This window comes from Homo sapiens, chromosome 13 (genome assembly GCF_000001405.40).
Source record: "Homo sapiens chromosome 13, GRCh38.p14 Primary Assembly".
NCBI classification, from domain to species: Eukaryota; Metazoa; Chordata; class Mammalia; order Primates; family Hominidae; genus Homo; species Homo sapiens.
Genome location: NC_000013.11, coordinates 28,345,389 through 28,363,139, shown reverse-complemented (window position 1 = coordinate 28,363,139; position 17,751 = coordinate 28,345,389). Strand labels below are relative to the sequence as shown.

Below are 17,751 nucleotides of genomic sequence, written 5' to 3'. Positions count from 1 at the left end.
AGTGAGTATCAACAGATTAAGGTATTAGAGAAACCTGGGGAGACAACAATGAATTAAGTATGAACAAAAGATCTGAAGAATGGAGACAAATTATAGGGGTAATAACATGCTTATTTTCGTAAGAAGGGAAATAAATGCAAGAGTGGAGGATGAGCAAGGGCCTGATGACAGTTCTGAGCGTCTGAGTGGCCTATCTGATGGGGAAGCATCAATGTCTCTGTGTCATTTGTTATAGTACAATAGAGGGCATATCAGAAAGAAGAGCTTTGCCTGTTGAATTTGGACACCTTCTCACCCCATCTCCTCTCCTCCTTGGGCTAGAAAGAGGAATCTGTGCCAGATGATGTTAGCTCATGAGCATCCTGGCTACCATCTCTCACCTTTCATAATTACACACTCTCCTTGAGTGAAATCCAAGTCCTTTAACTTTATTTACTCATGGTGCCAGCCTGTTTTTTGTTGTTGTTGTTTTTTCCAAGTTTTAGTGGAGATGGAGTCTCATTATGTTGCCCAGGCTGGTCTCGAACTCCTAGGCTCAAGCGATCTGCCCACCTCGGCCTCCAAAAGTGCTGGGATTATAGGCATGAGCCACTGTGCCCAGCCCATGATGCTATCCTTGAGTTGGGATTTGAGTGATAGAAAATTGGCTGAGTTTCAGATCTGCTGCAATGGAGATTATTGTAATGATTGTAGGTAGCAAGATAGCTGCTCTTATAAATGTTCATTGACCCGGAGCAACTGTACAGCCACACTTTTATTTTCTGTGATTGCCACTTGTACTATATCTTATACTTCTCAAAGCTTCAATGCTTCCATTTAAGCTATCTCAATTGATCATGAAATAGGTGGAGCAGGTATTATTCTCATTTTACAGGTAAGGAACTTGCCCCAAAAAGATTAAGTGACTTAGCCAAGGTTATGGGGAAGAGCTGTCATTTTTTCCCTGTTATCTGGGTTTAAAATATTGGAATCACCTTGGACTCATCTCTCTCTTTTTCTATTGCTGTATCCAGTAAAGCACCAATTCCTATAGGTTGTTTCTACAAAGTATCTGTTTCCATTTCTTCCTCTCTACTTCCTTTCCCACCATCCAGATTTGAGACCTCATCATTCCTTGCCTGAATTACAACTGATGAGCAGGACTTGCAGATGCTATGCTTTCCTCATTCCAGTCCAGCTGTATTCTCCTTCTAGACTGAACGTCCTTAAATGTCGCTTTCACTATGCTCAAAAATCTTTGTGATTCTCTTTCCTTCTACATGGAATTGAAACTCCTCAACCAAGATTTCAAAGCTCTCCTTAATCTGAATTCACCTTTTCCAGTCACCTACTCAAAACAGGTCTTTTGAAATAAAAATGGCTAATACACACATGAAAAAATGTTCAAAGAAATACAAATTAAAACAATCATTTTCATCTATCAAATCAGCAAAGTTTTGTGTTTTTAATTTTTTAGACGATACTGCTCATCCTCCACTCTTGCTATTTATTTCCTTTCTTACAAAAATAAGCAAGTTATTACCCTTATAATTTGTCTCCATCCCTCAGATCTTTTGTTCATACTTAATTCATTGTTGTCTCCTCTGGTTTCTCTAATACCTTAATCTGTTGATACTCACTTTGTAATTCTCCAAAACTAGAATTTGTAGGCAAGGATTTCTTCTGCTTGATAGTGTATCACCAGTATCTAGAATAGTGTCTAGTACGTAGTAGGAGCTCAAAAAATATTTGTTATATAAATGAACAAACTGTGTTTTCAGAAAGTACACTTTAGAAAGACTAAAGAAACAACATCTGGGAGGTGAGATTGTAGGTGTTTGGAGTTTGTGTGTTTTTTACATTTCTTTTTTTTTTGTTTTTTGAGATGGAGTCTTGCTCTGTCACCCAGGCTGGAGTGCAGGGGCACCATCTTGGCTCACTCCAAGCTCTGCCTCCCGGCTTCAAGCAATTCTTCTGCCTCAGCCTCCCGAGTAGCTGGGACTACCGGCATGAGCCACCACGCCCGGCTAATTTTTGTATTTTTAGTAGAGACGGGGTGTCACCATATTGGATAGGCTGGTCTCGAATTCCTAGACCTCATGATCCACCCACCTCGGCCTCCCACAAGTGCTGGGATTACAGGCATGAGCCACCGTGCCCGGCCTTTTCCATTTCTTTAATTGGCAAATAATAATAATTATATATATGCATGGGGTACAGTGTGATGTTTTAATATTAATACATGTATACAATGGGAAGGATCAAATAAGCCTGATTAGCATACCCATCAGCTCAAATATCATTTCTTTGTGGTGGGAACACTTAAAATCCTCTTTTAGCTATTTTGAAATGTGCATTATTTTTAGCTGTTGTCACTTTGCTGTGTAATAGAATGCCAGAACATATTCCTCTTATCTAACTGTAACTTTGTACCCAGTGACCAATATCTTCCCTGTCCGTATCCAACTCTCCCCACCCCAGCCTGTGGTAACCATCACTCTACTCTCTACATCTATGAGTTCAACTTTTTTAGATTCCACATATAAGTGAAATCATGCAGCATTTGTCTCTCAGTGCCTGGCTTATTTCGCTCAACATAATGTCCTCTAGGTTCATCCATATTGTCATAAATGACAGAATTTCCTGTTATTTTTTAAGGCTGTAGTATTCCATTGTATATATACACCAAATTTTAAAAATCTATTCATCCATTGATGGACACATAGGTTGCCTCCATATCTTGGCTATTGTGAATAATGCTGCAATAAACATGGGAATGCAGACATCTCTTCAGCATCCTTGATTTCAATTTCTTTGGGTAGATACCCAGTAGTGGGATTGCTAGATCATATAGCAGTTTTCTTTTTAGTTGTTTGAGAGGCTCCATATGGTTTTCCAAAATGGCCGTAACAATTTATAATGCCACCAACCGTGTATAAGGGTTCCCTTCTTTCCACATCCTCATCAACACTTGTGATCTTTTATCTTTTTAATAATAGCTAATCTAATAGGTGTGAGGTGCTATCTCATTTGGTTTTTTTCTTGTTTTTTGAGACAAAGTCTCGCTCTGTCACCCAGGCCGGAGTGCAGTGGCACGATCTCGCTCACTGCAACCTCTGCCTCCCCAGTTCAAGTGATTCTCCTGCTGCAGCCTCCCAAGTAGTTAGGATTACAGGCATTCGCCACCACACCCCGCTAATTTTTGTATTTTTAGTAGAGACTGGGTTTCATCATGTTGGCGAGGCTGGTCTTGAACTCTTGACCTCAGATGATCTGCCCACCTCGGCCTCCCAAAGTGCTGGGATTACAGGCATGAGCCACTGCACCTGGCCTCATTTGGTTTTGATTTACATTTTTGTGATTGGAGATGGTGAGTATTTTTTTCATATAACTGTTGGCCATCTGTCTTCTTTTGAAAAATGTCTATTTGATTTCTTTGCCCATTTTTAAATAGGATTATTGGTTTCCTTGTTATTGAGTAGTTTGAGTTCCTTGTATATTTTGGATATTGGCTCCTTATCTGATGTATGATTTGCAAATACTTTTTCCCAATCTGTAGGTTGTCTCTTCACTCTATTAATTGTTTCCTTTGCTGTGCAAAAGGTTTTTAGTTTGATGCAATCCCATTTGCCTATTTTTGCTTTCGTTGCCTGTGCTTTTGGGGTCATATCCAAGAAATCTCTTCCCAGACCAATATCGTGGAGTTTTTCCCCCACATTTTCTTCTAGTAGTTTTATAGTTTCTGGTCTTACATTTAAGTTTTTAATCCATATTGAGTTCATTTTTATATAAGGGATGAGAGAAGGGTCCATTTTCATTTTTCTGTATGTAGATATCCAGTTTTCCCAACACCACTTATTAAGGAGACTGTCCTTTCCCCATTGTGTGTTCTTGGCACCTTGTCAAAAATCAGTTGACCATAGATGTTTGGGTTGATTTCTGGGCCCTTGCCTATTCCATTGGTTGATGGATCTGTTTTTATAACAGTACCATGCTGTTTTGATTATCATAGCTTTATAATATTACATTTTCTTTTTTTAAGCTTTCAAATATTTCTCAACTTTTCTATATTGAGTACATCTTTCATAAGAGAAATACAAACTATTTAAACTAATGAAATACAGCCTATAGTCTGGCCAGGCCTGTTTTATCACTATTCTGGAACAAGTACTCAATTCCTGTTTATTTCCACATCATGCCATTTCTCATGCTTCCGTTTCTCATTTCACCTCTGACAATCCTTCAGACCTCAACTCGAGGCCCACCTCTTCTATGCAGCCTTCCCCAAGTACACCCTTCCTTACTGATCTCCTTCCCTGTGCCAGACCTTCCACTTAATTAGGTATACTGTGCTGTATTCACTCATTCTCATTCATTAAACATTTTCTATTTGTTGGCTTGTGTGTGTGAGTGTATGTGTTGAGCATGTGTGGGAGAGAGAGAATGTAAATGTGTGTGTTTGGTAGGAATTAATTTTTCCTTCTCAACAGATACCATGTCTTAGCCTGCCCACATCTTAGCCTGCTGTTTGTTTTGTAACACGAACTGATGGCAGAGTAAATACTCAACAGACCCTTGGTGATAGTACAAGGTATTGAAGCTTCAAGGTCTTGAAGCCTTTCAGGGGTCTGAAAATTCTTGGGACTCCTTCCACTACACTGTGCTCTGTAGTAATCCTTAAGCTTACATTTACTGAGCACTTACTATGTACCATGGGCTTGCCATTTACTATAGAGTAAGAATTACTTTCATTTTTATCTTAAGATTAAGGAAACTGAAACTTAGAAAGATCAAGTAACTTGCCTAAGTGACAAAGCTTGAAGCGCTAAGGCATGGATTAAAACACAGCCCAGGCAAACTCTTCATCACTAGGCTATATTGACTCACCAGGCCTTATGACAAATGAAATATTAGTTCCTTTGACCCATATGTCACAAATGTGCTTTCAGTCAAACTGCATGCTCTTGGTGAAGTTACTTAATCTCACAGAATCTCAGTTTCCTCATTTGTAAAAGGAAGACAATATTAGCTGACAGGCTGGTTGTAAATGTCAAGGTATGAAAGTGTGTCACATAGTGCCGAGCACACAGAGGGCGTTGAGTCAATGATAGTTGTTATTATTAGATATGCTGCCTTCTTGATATCTTCAACTTTCAAGTTGGGCATGGCAGCTGCCTCACATTTCTTTCTACAGGGTGGGTGGATTTGCATCTCCGAAGCTGGGGATCACAGCTCTGCTGGGTGGTGAAGGTGCTATTAGAAAGCCTGCAGAAAAAAAAAAAAAAAAAAAAAGGAAAGAAAAGAAAAAGAAAGCCTGGACCCAGAGAAAACAAATAAGCAACCCTGCCCCAGGTTCACTAGAGCTCGGATTTCCTTGTCTGAATGCATAATGATAGGAAGAAGGCTGTGTTACAGAAGTAGCTGTTTTTTGTTTGTCATCCAGGCCCACTAATCTAAACATCTCTCACCCCTCAGGAATTATTTTAGGACCAGGAAGCAGCACGCTGTTTATTGAAAGAGTCACAGAAGAGGATGAAGGTGTCTATCACTGCAAAGCCACCAACCAGAAGGGCTCTGTGGAAAGTTCAGCATACCTCACTGTTCAAGGTAAACAGCTGCTTAAGAAAGCAACAAGAAATTGGTCAGACATCTATTTCCCTGTTTGTTTAACTTTCCACCTCCCAGTCTCCTGCTGCCTGCTCCAGTCTGTTCCTTTCCCTGACCTCCTTCTCCCCTCTCCCTGCCACTCCGGGAAGGGACTGTCTGGTTCTGTCTGGCAAAGCAGAAGGTGAAGACACTGGCTGGCCATCCTCGAGAGCCCAAAATCCGAACACAGTGTCTGCGGGAGAAGTCGTTCCCAGAAGAAAGGAAACCCAGTTCTGACTGTGTTATTACGCCCTGCCACAGAGAGTGGCCAGAGTAGTCCACACCTGTGAGAGAGATGTCCAAAATGGAAGAAAAGGGAGGGGGGTAGGTGAGGAGGGGGAACTCGCACACTTAAAATTGTTCATTTGTTTTCCTTTTCTAATTCCCAGGAGTTAGACATATGCTGCTATTCCAAATGCTTTTATAAGCTGGCTTTTAAAATGAAGTGGGCTGTAATATATTATCAGAAAGAAGCAACATGTAATCAACAGATGACATTTAAGAAAAATATTCCAAGTGCTTCCTCTTTATAGGTCTCAGACAGTTTGCTCAGCAGCAAAATACAAAGAGGCCTAATCCTACCCTGGCTATGGCCATGTGGCTTACATTTGGAAAACAGTTTCGACCTCAGTTTCAATTCTCTAATGCTAAGAATCATCCAAAACATAAAATTTACAACATCATAAAATATCAGATTGGCACCTCTTAGATGTAAATATCTATGGCATATTGAGGTTTTACGTGAAAAGATGGTATTTGTTCAGTAGCCTATTTCCAAATGCTAACCAGTCGACTTCAGAATATGCAAGTATTTTGCGGGGAGGAACTAGGAAGAAGGCAACGTACTTCAGTTTTTTTCCCCCTGAAACTTACATTGCTTAAATATTTTAACTCTGAGAATTCAAACCCCTTTAAAACAGAACATCATCTTTATTCTTTCACAAGGAGATGATTTTAAAGAGCCCCCTGAAAGTCTGAAACTACTCTACCACAAATTTATACTTTCAGAAAAAGTGAGAGGGTAGCATTCCCCAAATACCTTTAGTAATGGTTTTGTCTCCCAAATAATCCTTGTTCTAAAATATTATGTTCACTTTTCTGCTCGCTCATACAGAAACAATTTATTAGCATCTCTGTTTAACACCTTCTTCCCCAGATAGCTGCTAATCTGTCTTTTAACAGGCACCCCAGACATATAGCCCTCAGGAATGGCCGTGCCGGGCCAGGGAACACAGAGAGCAAGGAGACCTCACTAATCCTCAGAGCAAACGTCATTTCCCCCATATCCTCCCAACAACCCCATGAGAAACACAGAGCAGTGATAAACCTCCAGAGAGGTCTGAACTGACTCACCCAACTCACACAGTCTAGTCATGGCAGACCAGAGGAGAAAACTGAACTTTTCTCAGACTCCCCTCCCCTCACCCCATGACTGCATTCCCCTGTCCCCACCCCTCCACCAGGGAATATGGGGCAGCAATGGCTGGACTCTTATGGCCTGGGAGGAGCCTGGGTATGAAGCAGTGACGTTTTTGCGTGTTTGTAGGTCTCCCCAAAGTCTTGACTTCCTTCCTTTTTCTGCCAGGTTGATGTGGGTTTCTCAGAAGCCAGTGTGCTTAAAACTGTGCATTTACGACATCTGTGAGTTTCTTCTCCCCACCTTCAGAACGACCACCCTTCTGTTCGCCAGCAGTCTGCTCTGCAGGAGGCCTGCTGTTATTCTTTCACTGCTCCAGGCCAGATCAGCAGCACCGTGGGGCCTTCCAGATTGGATTAGAGTCAGTCGTTTGGCCATTAGTGAGCCGGACTTGCCACATAACGCCAAGCGTGGCCTCTGTTTGTGATGTTAGTGCATCCTGGAGTAGGCTCCATTCCCTATTCCAGCCAAATCCTTCTTATCCTCTCAGGCCAGCTGAAATGCTTTCTGCCCTGGAATGTACTCCGGGATGAACAGCTGAGGCAGATACTCATTCTCTGCTCTCTCAATCCCCGCTTCTGGAATCATTAGTCAGTACTTATTTTATTCTGCCTTTTATTATTATTTTGGCGTTGATATGCTTCTCTTCCCTACCGAATTATAAACTTTGAGACAGTACTGTCTGACATATCTTTGTATCCTGTACACATGCCCAGCACTTAGCACGAAATATTTATTTAGGACCTTTATGTGCAGGCGCTGTGCTGGACTTGTGACATACTTAATCCTATTAACCTTGTAAGAATCTAAAGAAGTCAATAGTAGTATCTTCAATCTACAGATGGGAAGATGGAAACTCAAGTTAAACAACTTGCCCAAAGTCGCACAATGACTATGTGGTGAGGCTGAGACTTGAGTCCACGTATACCTCAGAATATTTCCGCCCTTCCTCTGCTCTTCTCATTCCTGAGGTGCCTTAGGAAGTTGTCTGCAAGGACTTAGGATAAAATTGAGCAAAAGCACTCTTTCAGTGATCCTGTTATTTTTATTTTCTCCATTTCTCTCATGTTTACATGCCTCTAGACTTCCTATGCTGATTCCTTTTCCCATTAATGTTATGCTTTTCTGAAAAGTCAGATGTTAAGAATACTGCATTACTGATAATTTCTAAACCTTTCTGTTAGCCATATCATTTACTCTTGTGAAAAGTGGAGGTTATTTTCACTTGAATTGCCCATATGGGTTGCCACATATATATAATATATGGCATATATAATGGAATATATATTTATATATTCCATTATTTTGTTCATTATTGCCCCCAACTGCCATGCTTTTTGAACTCTTGTGTCTGCTTTTTGTAGTTTTTTGGCCTTCTCCTTTGCTCTCTTTTATAAAAGTGATGGCTATATCCAACCTTTTTTGCTTAAAAAAAGTAGTTAGCTGAAAATATAGATTACATGATTGGCAATCATCCAGCCACACCTGAAATATTGTGCCCATTTATAAAAGAAACAAATAAGTAGCGCTATATCCTGGATAGGAATAGAATAGTGCCAGAAAATGAGGATACTTAGTCCAAAAAAGAGACAACATGGGGGTAACAAGATTGTTTTCTTGAAATAGTTTAGGAGCTTTCTGACAGAAGAGGCATTTAACTCATTCTTTGACACACCAGAAAAGATAACTAGAACCAAGGAAGGGAGATGGTAGTGAAATTTCCAAGAGGCAGGTTTCAAGTCTATATAAGAATATAACTTTGCACAGGAAGAAATTTTGAATGTTAATAGTATGTGGACCTTAGAAAGGCCTGCATGTGTGAGTCAGATGCAGTATCTTGAATGGAAGGAGTTTGGATTCACTGGATTAAAATTTGATCCTAGGATGCTGTTCACAACAGCTGAATACGGTACCTGCTCATTAATTTTATAATTGAAATGGGACTCTTCTTCTAGAGTCATTGTTCTTACCACCCTGGTAGCTATGAAACATTCCCTAGATTTAGACTTTATTTCCTGTTAGATGCATATGGACCCTCACACTGACCTATCTTGTCAAATTGAGTTTAGGAAATGAAACCAAGTGAACAAGTTGTGTCTGTGGCTATGTTTAACAGATTTAAAGAGGTTGGTGAATTAGCCAGGAAGGAAACTGTCTGCTCTTTTTATTTCCTTTGAAAAAGGATTCTTATACTCACAGATAAAACAATGTGTTATTTTTGTATCCGTAAAGGATGAATGAACTGTGGAGTCAAAGTACCTTCTTTAAATAATCACAGGTCTTGTTTGGTTTGGACCTAGTGCCAGCACGAGGGCACATGAAGCTCTCAAAGGGGAAATTCCATATCAAAACCGACAACAGAAGTGTTAGTAACTAAAATCATTTCTGAAATTAACATAGCGCTCAGTAGCCCTGGAACTCAATGGGGCTGTTACAATTTCATCCAAGGACTTAAGCTATGCTTTATAATTATTAATGCAAATAACCACAATATATATAAAAACATTCTTTTTTTTTTTTTTTTTGAGACACAGTCTTGGTCTGTCAGCCAGGCTAGAGTGCAGTGGCATGATCTTGGCTCATTACAAGCTCTGCCTCCTGAGCTCAAGCAATTCTTCTGCCTCAGCCTCCCGAGTAGCTGGGATTACAGGCGTGTGCCACCACGCCTGGCTAATTTTTGTATTTTTAGTAGAGACGGGGTCTCACCACGTTGGCCAGGCTGGTCTCGAACTCCTGACCTCAGGTAATCCACCCGCCTCGGCCTCCCAAAGTGCTGGGATTACAGGCATGAGCCACCGCGCCCAGCCAAATCTGATACTCTTATATCAGATTTAGGCCTTACTATATTTCAGTATTATTTATAAGTACATAGGAGAAGACAACTTGAAGAAGAATAACTATCATTCTAAACATTTTTCGAAGATGATTGACAGATACAAAAATCCCAAAGGCACAAAAGGACTACATGAGGGTCCTGCAGCCTAAATGCTGGTCATGGCATTAGAGGCTGATTTGCAAACGATTGCACGTTGTCACTTGTTTGAGAAAGGACTCATCCAGTAGAAAGTAGACACTATGTTCCCTAATAAATTAAATCCCAGAAGTCAATAACAGAAAAAACTGAAAACAATATGGCCATGGGTCTTCAGTCACTGCTTTCTATTGCCCTTGGCCAGCTATCAGTTTTCAGTTCTCCATTTTGACCCTCCTCTGATCCCTGACTGACCTCCCTCCACGTTAGCTCCTCTCTTCCTGAATCCTGCCCCCAAATTCACTCCTATGACTATCCTGGCACTGAGAAAGGATGTGATAAACTAATTCGCATGAATATGTTGGGGATTGATGTTACACCTCTCATGGGTGTTGGCTATTTAGAAAGGTTTCCCGAGGAGAGAGCAGTGCTCAAAACAGAGATGAACCAGTTGTGCACTAATGTCAATAGGAGGGCTGAGGGACAGGGATACACATGCCTATACTTCAAATCTAACCAGTGACATAAAGCTGGCCTTGATCAAGAAGAATTTTAAAAAATGGTGATGGAATTCAGTTAGGCTGATTTGAGGTGTTTGTAGAGAGTTCTTGAGGCAAAATAATTCAAACTCAAAAGATATTCATCTTAATTCCTTCCGTAGAAACTAGGCTGGCATAAAACTGCATTGGGTATCATAGAAGTGGGTGTTAGGCCTAGGGAACTTGGTGCTGGGCTCTGCGAGGGCCTGGGACCATGTAATTAATATCTTGCGCTTATAGAACATGCAGTGCACTATTTTAAGCACATAACATCCGTAATCCTACTCAAGTTTTGCAATAATCCTACAGGTACAAGGAAGTACAGTTAGTTAAAAGGGAGAATCTAGGCTCAAAAAGGTTAAGTGACTTGTCCAGGGTTACACAGCTTGGAAATGGCAGAGCTGAGAATTGTAGCCATGTTCAACCATCCTGCTCTGTTGCTCTATAGGTTTTATGCTCTATACCTCAACTCTAAGGTAGCACAGCACGGTGGTTAAAAAGACCCATTCTGAAGCCAGATGCCTCACTCTTCATGGGCTGCATAACTTTTGCCAAGTTCCTTACCTTCCTGGTGCTTCCAGTCTCTCATTGTAAAATGGGCATGCTAATGATGGTATACCAATCTTTGTAGGCTTGTTGTAAGGATTAACACATTTAAAACAGCATCTGGCATATAATAAAAATTTTGTAAGTGTTAGCTAACATTACCGTTTGTTAATAAGATATACCAAATTCCATTTCAACAAAAGTTTCTGTATTATACTTTTCCTGGACTTAACCAGTGGGTCACCTAAAAGGTGTTCTAAGCCACAGAATTCCTGTTTGACTTAAGGATTTAACTTGTGAAAAAAGAAATGTGTTCCAGAACTAACGTCACGTAACAGCAATTTAAATATCCTTACTTAACAGTACTCTTGAAAATGTACTTAAAATATAATGGGAATACAGCATTTCCATACATCACTGTCCTTAGGAGTGGTTCCAAATTGGTGTACATAGATTCCTAAAAAACTTCATCGACAGTAATAAAGGTCTGCAGGCCTATTTTAACATTTCAATAGGCTCTAGAGAAACCATATAGTAAGTAAGGTTACCTGGATTATGCTGACTGGGTTTTACATAGAAGGAGATGGCACTGGTTGAGTGGCTTATGTTGCTCGGGGATCTTGAGAGTCAGGTCAAAGTGCATCTGAGTAATTTTCTTCTCGTTCATACCTAAATCTTTATTGAGACTTCCTCTGAGTCAATGCTGGAGACTCAAAGCGAACAAGAAACATGTCCTTCTCTTGAGGTCCTAACAGGTTAATGGGCAATAAACCCACATAAGTAGTTACTCAAATTATAATAACAATAGAACCAGAGAATAACACCTAAACCAACCTTAGGATCAGGCAAATTTCTCAGGGAGGTAGTGGACCAGTTGTTTGCAGAAATTGATGAGTACTTAGGTCCAAATCTGATTTGTTTCAGAAAGAAAAGGCAAATTGTATTAAATAATACATGCAATGTGTTTCAATGAAAAAAAATTACTCTGCACTTGAGGTCCAAAAAGTGATAAGGAAAAAAAAAAGAAAAGGGTTGGAGTAAGGGGTGTAGATGGAGAAACAGAGAGACGGTGGGAGAGGGAGGGAGAGAGGGAGAGAGAGAGAAAGGAAAGAAGGAAGGAAGGAGGGAAGGAAGGAAAGAAGGAAGGAAGAAAGGGAGGAGGGAAGGAAGGAAGGCAGGCAAGCAGGCTTCAAAATAATAGCTAACACTAAGTTAACACAATTCACGTGTGAGGAAGGGGCTGTTATCTCCACTTTGTAAGGATGAGGAAACTGGGGCACAGAGTACCTGCCCTTTCCCGATGAAACCTGTGTTCGGTCCCTAAGTCAAGGCAGGCCCTGGGACAAGGTGCTCTGGTCTTTTGCTTGGGGTGTTTCCTTAACTCCTTGGGAAACTCTGTCTGGTTATATTGCATGAGCTGAGTTGGCTGGCTCTGCTGCCTACCCATTCATGCAGTCTGATGCCACACAGTGCCATACATCAGGGCTGGTGTGATGCCGCCAGACCATGCAGCCCAGGCTGTGTGTACAGAGAGCTACTATTGCTATCAGGAAAGCTCAGGACACTGCGCAGCTGCAGAGACGTCAGGCAAGATACACACCCCTTCAGAACTCAGACCATCCCTGGTGTGGCATCTCCCCTCCCTATTCCAAAAGGGATGGTATAAAGCCTGGGAGAGTACTTGACGTGGAATGCTCTGTGCAACCAGGTCAACAGTCTGTCATAGATACAGTTAACATACACTCTTCAAATTGGCTATATTCTTGTCAGTATCCCAAATAAAAATAACCTTGTACCGTGTCCTGATGCTGGCCTTTCACGCACATCATGCGGGAGCCATGTCCCTGAGACCCAGTGCTAACTCCTAGTTACTGTCAAATCCCACCCACATTTCCCTGGCCTCTTTCCACTCCTGTGTGCTGCTGGGTTATCTCATGCACTTAGCTCATCAGCTGTCACCAGCAAATTGAAGCTGGGTTTAGTCAGGCCAGTGTGTTTGACTGCTGAGAAAACACCTAAGGGTTCACTTCAGTCAGTCACCCAGCATAAGACTGTCCTAACAGTCGCTTTTCAAACAGAGATAGAGACTAAGCCATCAAATGCAATAGAGCAATGATACTACAGCACATACTGTAAAATTCTAATATTTTTCAATAAGCAGTACTGAACATTATTAATATTAAATAGATCTTTCCTTCCCGATAAATGGTCATCTTGAAGATTTTTTTAATGGGCTGATTCCTTAAATGTGTAAGTATTTGCACACAAACACATTTGGTCCACTGAAATGAATTTTGCTTGAGTAAGGACTGTGGAATTAGACTTTGGGGGTCAGCTTCCTGTCCCATAGAATGCAGCAGGAAAGTTCCCACAATCAAGGGGGCCTCTCTTAGTGCATTCCATGCGGGAAGCATCTGCAGAGGTTTTATGCAGACAGTGCAATGTCTCAAGATGCTATCAGCATCTCCGACAGCCAAAGGCCACTGTGTCCTGAGAGGATCCCAATCCCAATCAAATTCCACAAAATTTATTTGCAGCATAAGCAAGAATGTGTGCGTGTGTGTGTGTGTGCGTGTGCGCATGTGTGTGTGTGTGTGTGTGTGTGTGTGTGTGTGTACAGCAAGGCCGCATTAAACCTCACTGTCACTGTGGAGAAAGAAACCAAACTCATATGAACTTGAGCTTACAATCTTCCCATTGTGAGGATGTGTAGTGAGAGAAAAGGTTATCACACTTAGAAATTTCTTTAAGGAAGTTATTTTCAATCAACCCCATGAGGTTCAGGGAAACTTAAGACCAGCTGACAAAGCAGCAAATAAGCCAATTCATTCATTTGACCACTATTTTCAGGATGTCTACTATATGCCAGGCACTATTCTGAACCCTGGAAATGTAGCAGTGAAGAAGAGGACCATAGCCCTACGTTCTGCTGCTTCACTCAGAACTTATAACACACTCATCAGTTCATAGTTGAATACCAGACTGTGAGCTCCAACCATGCCCTTTCTCTTCTAACTGTATACCAGCACCTAGAACATATCTGCAACAGAGGTGGTGGTCTATATGTTTTATGAAGTAATACACAGGAACAGAGACGTGACCCTAAACTCTTTTTTTTTTTTTTTGAGACGGAGTCTCGCTCTGTAGCTCAGGCTGGAGTGCAGTGGCGCAGTGGCACCATCTCGGCTCACTGCAACCTCCGCCTCCCGCGTTCAAGCAATTCCCCTGCCTCAGCCTCCTGAGTAGCTGGGACTACAGGCGCCTGCCACCATGCCCAGCTAATTTTTTGTATTTTTAGTAGAGACGGGGTTTCACGGTATTAGCCGGGATGGTCTCGATCTCTTGACCTCATGATCCGCCTACCTCGGGCTCCCAAAGTGCTGGGATTACAGGCATGAGCCACCGCGCCCGGCCCCTAAACTCTTTAAAACCCTCATGAAACTCTTTAGAGGTAGGTAAAGCAAAACATATATATACATTCATTCGCCCAAGCTGATGAGTAGGGTGAATAAGTTATGGACTCAGTCATCAGGAAGCACACATTTTGGCAGAGAAATAGCAAAAGCCAAAGCATGGATGTTCTGAAGGGTTGGTGTATTTAAGAAACTATAAGAACTGTGGCGTGACTGAAGCAAGTGGGAGGACAGCAGGAGATGAAGCTGAAAAGAGAGGCAAGGTTGGGCATAAAGGATTTAAGGATTTGGACTTTTATCCTGATGGTGACAGGGAACAGATGACGGAATTTAGACAGAAGAGTAATAGGATTTTAAATTGGTGATTTGGCAAGATCACTCTGGCTGCAGAGGTGGAGGACAGACTGGAGGGAGCCATGGCCAATGAGGTAGTCCTGGTGAGAACTGATAAGGCCTTATTTTAGGCAGTCACAGCTGGGTAGGAGAGCTGATAATTTAATGATCCAAGGAAGTAGAATGGGCAGGACTTTGTGATGGGTTGGATGGAGAGAAAATATCAGTTTCCACTCCAGACTAAAAGATAACTTTGTGGCGGGGACTATGGCCAATAGGAAGTGATTAATCTGCGCTTGTAAAGGCTGGAAGGATCAGAGAGGAGGAAGTGGCATACTCTTGGAAGCTTCGTGGTTAAGCATGTGCAGTCAGATTATCTGGGTTAAAATCACAGCTCCACCACTTGCAGGCTGTGTGACTTTGGGCAAGAGGCTTAATCTCTCTGTGTCTCAATTTCCTTATTCATAAAATGGGAATAATCTAGCTTGTAGTATTTTTGTGAGTCTTTGGTGAATGAATACATGTTGGTCCTTAGAAAAGTCCCTAGAATAGAAAGCACTCAATAAGGGCCAATGAGTTATTGTTATCTCAGGTTTCCAGCTTGTGCATTTGCTATGATTTGGGCAGGAAACCTTGGCTCCAACTGCCTGCAGCCTTTAGATCAAACCCATCACACAGATGCTCAGAATCCTCTATGGTCTGGTCCTGTCTTGTATCTTGTATTATACTGCCCTATCTTTTCCCAGGTCTGGGTCTTGTGTCTTGTTTTGGTTTTGAGATGGAGTCTCACTCTGTCACCCAGGATGGAGTGCAGTGGTGCGATCTCAGCTCACTGCAACCTCCGCCTCCTGGGTTCAAGCTATTCTCCTGCTTCAGACTACCGAGGAGCTGGGTGCCCCCCCACCACACCCAGCTAATTTTTTTTTTGTATTTTTAGTAGAGACAGGGTTTTACCATGTTGGCCAGGCTGGTTTTGAACTCCTGACCTCAGGTGATCTGCCCGTCTCGGCCTCCCAAAGCGCTAGGATTACAGGCGTGTGCCATCGCACTTGGCCAGGTCTGGGTCTTTACTCATACTGTTTCCTCTGCCTATAATGCCCTCCCCTGCCTTCATCTCTGCAGATTAAAATTCATGTCAAATGCCACCTCTTCAAAAAAGTATTATTAGATTACTATTAGATAGTAGTATATATTAGATTCCCTCAGCAGCCGAATCTTTCAAAATCTAATTTCTTTGTATTTGCCTTAAGTCTCTTGGTTAGGTTTGAATGGGGTCCTTGAGAGTGGCAACTGTCCCTCATTAATCTTTCTATCTCCTCCGGCCCCTAACCTTGCCTCTAGTACAACTCAATACATCTTTGTTGCATTGAAACAGAGAGCCCCCAAGATGAAGTGCTCATGTATGAAACTGGAGTATTACTGCCCCTGACTTCATAGTTTGCATGCTTAGAATATAATAAGTGCTCAGCAAATTAGATCCTCATCCACATCATTATTTCTAAAAAGAAAATTTCACTTGTCCTTTGCCCACCTTAATATAAACATCTATCTGTCTGTCTCTCTCTCTTTCTCTCCCTCTCTCTTTTGAGACCAGGTCTTGCTCTGTTGCCCAAGCGGGAGTTCAGTGGCACAATCATAGCTCACTACAGCATGGAACGCCTGGGCTCAAGTGATCCTCCTGCCTCAGCCTCCAGAGTAGCTGGGATTACAAGTGTGTGCTACCACATTTTTTTTTTTTTTAAGAGAAGGCATCTTGCTATGTTGCCCAGGCTGGTCTCAAACTCCGGGGCTCCAGCAATCTTCCCTCCTTAGCCTCCCAAACTGCTAGGATTACAGATGCGAGCCACCATGCCCAGCCACTTCTGTCTCATTGTAGTTAAGTTAAAGGATAAAGGCATTACTTTAGAATTCCTGGGAAATTGCTCACAAGAATCAATACTGTTCTGGCCCATGGAGGCATTTCTTTACAAATTCCAGAGTTCCCTCTCTGGAGGCATGGCTTGAATACTTTAAGTCTTTTCCTTTTGGTCTTGGAGGAACAGTGCTCAGCTTTTGATCTCTGTGATTCTGATAGAGAAGGTGACTGGGAAGGATTCAGGTCCAGCAATTGCCTCTTCTATCTCAGGCCCCCCAATCTGGCTGATGAAGCCAGAAACAGAGCCCTAGACAAAGGGAGTGGGATGTGGGCGCTTTGGGCTGGCAGTTCCAAAGGGAGCAAACAGGCAACTGTGACAGTCCTGGATTTATTTTTATTCTTAAATTCTACTTTGAAGAATTTTGTGAGTCCCAAAGTAGCCCTTTTATGTCATTATTTTGTCTTTTTTTTTTTTTTTTAGAATTTCCTCTAAAACTCATTAGGGAGATTTAACATATTCCAGATTTAGCATTTTAATGGGCTTTTGTTCCTGCCTTAATTTTTTCCCATTTTTAATTTCTCCTCTGATTTTTACTTAGCTGTTTCTGGAATTACAAAGTTTGCAAACTTGACAGCAAAATTTCTGGAAAGCCTTTTCTATGTGAGTTCATTATGTGAGTTCATGTATACTGCCTTTTCTATGTGAGTTCATGTATACTGCCTGGCTTAGAAGGTAAGAGATCTGTCCCAGAGACTGATTTTGTGGCAGCAGATTGGGTTCGCTATGATAAACCATTTAGGGAAACTGAGCCTCTTTTATAAAACCACAAAGATTCTGAGTTTGGGAATTTCTTTGTTGCACCACTATTGTGATTTTTTTTCTCTCCAGGAACCTCGGACAAGTCTAATCTGGAGCTGATCACTCTAACATGCACCTGTGTGGCTGCGACTCTCTTCTGGCTCCTATTAACCCTCTTTATCCGAAAAATGAAAAGGGTAAGAACATAGGTGATGTTCTATGCTCCTTTTTACATATATTCTAAAAAGCCCGA

The 17,751-nt window shown here is 41.7% G+C and overlaps 1 protein-coding gene across 1 annotated transcript in view, besides 2 other annotated features; it reads left to right on the top strand.

The window, feature by feature from the left end:
* FLT1 (fms related receptor tyrosine kinase 1) overlaps window positions 1-17,751 on the top strand; it is a 194,783-nt gene that overhangs the window by 131,989 nt on the left and 45,043 nt on the right. The window contains exons 15-16 of the mRNA NM_002019.4: window positions 5,455-5,586; window positions 17,589-17,695. Of these exons, the coding sequence (NP_002010.2) occupies window positions 5,455-5,586; window positions 17,589-17,695 (239 nt within the window). The remainder of the gene's footprint in view (window positions 1-5,454; window positions 5,587-17,588; window positions 17,696-17,751) is intronic.
* Window positions 4,674-4,983: an enhancer, noted in NCBI's record as "active region_7511". NCBI's record gives its function as "activates an Ori minimal core promoter by ATAC-STARR-seq in GM12878 lymphoblastoid cells {active_cell/tissue: GM12878}" and the evidence as "EXISTENCE:reporter gene assay evidence [ECO:0000049][PMID:35858748]".
* Window positions 6,939-7,028: a silencer, noted in NCBI's record as "silent region_5211". NCBI's record gives its function as "represses an Ori minimal core promoter by ATAC-STARR-seq in GM12878 lymphoblastoid cells {active_cell/tissue: GM12878}" and the evidence as "EXISTENCE:reporter gene assay evidence [ECO:0000049][PMID:35858748]".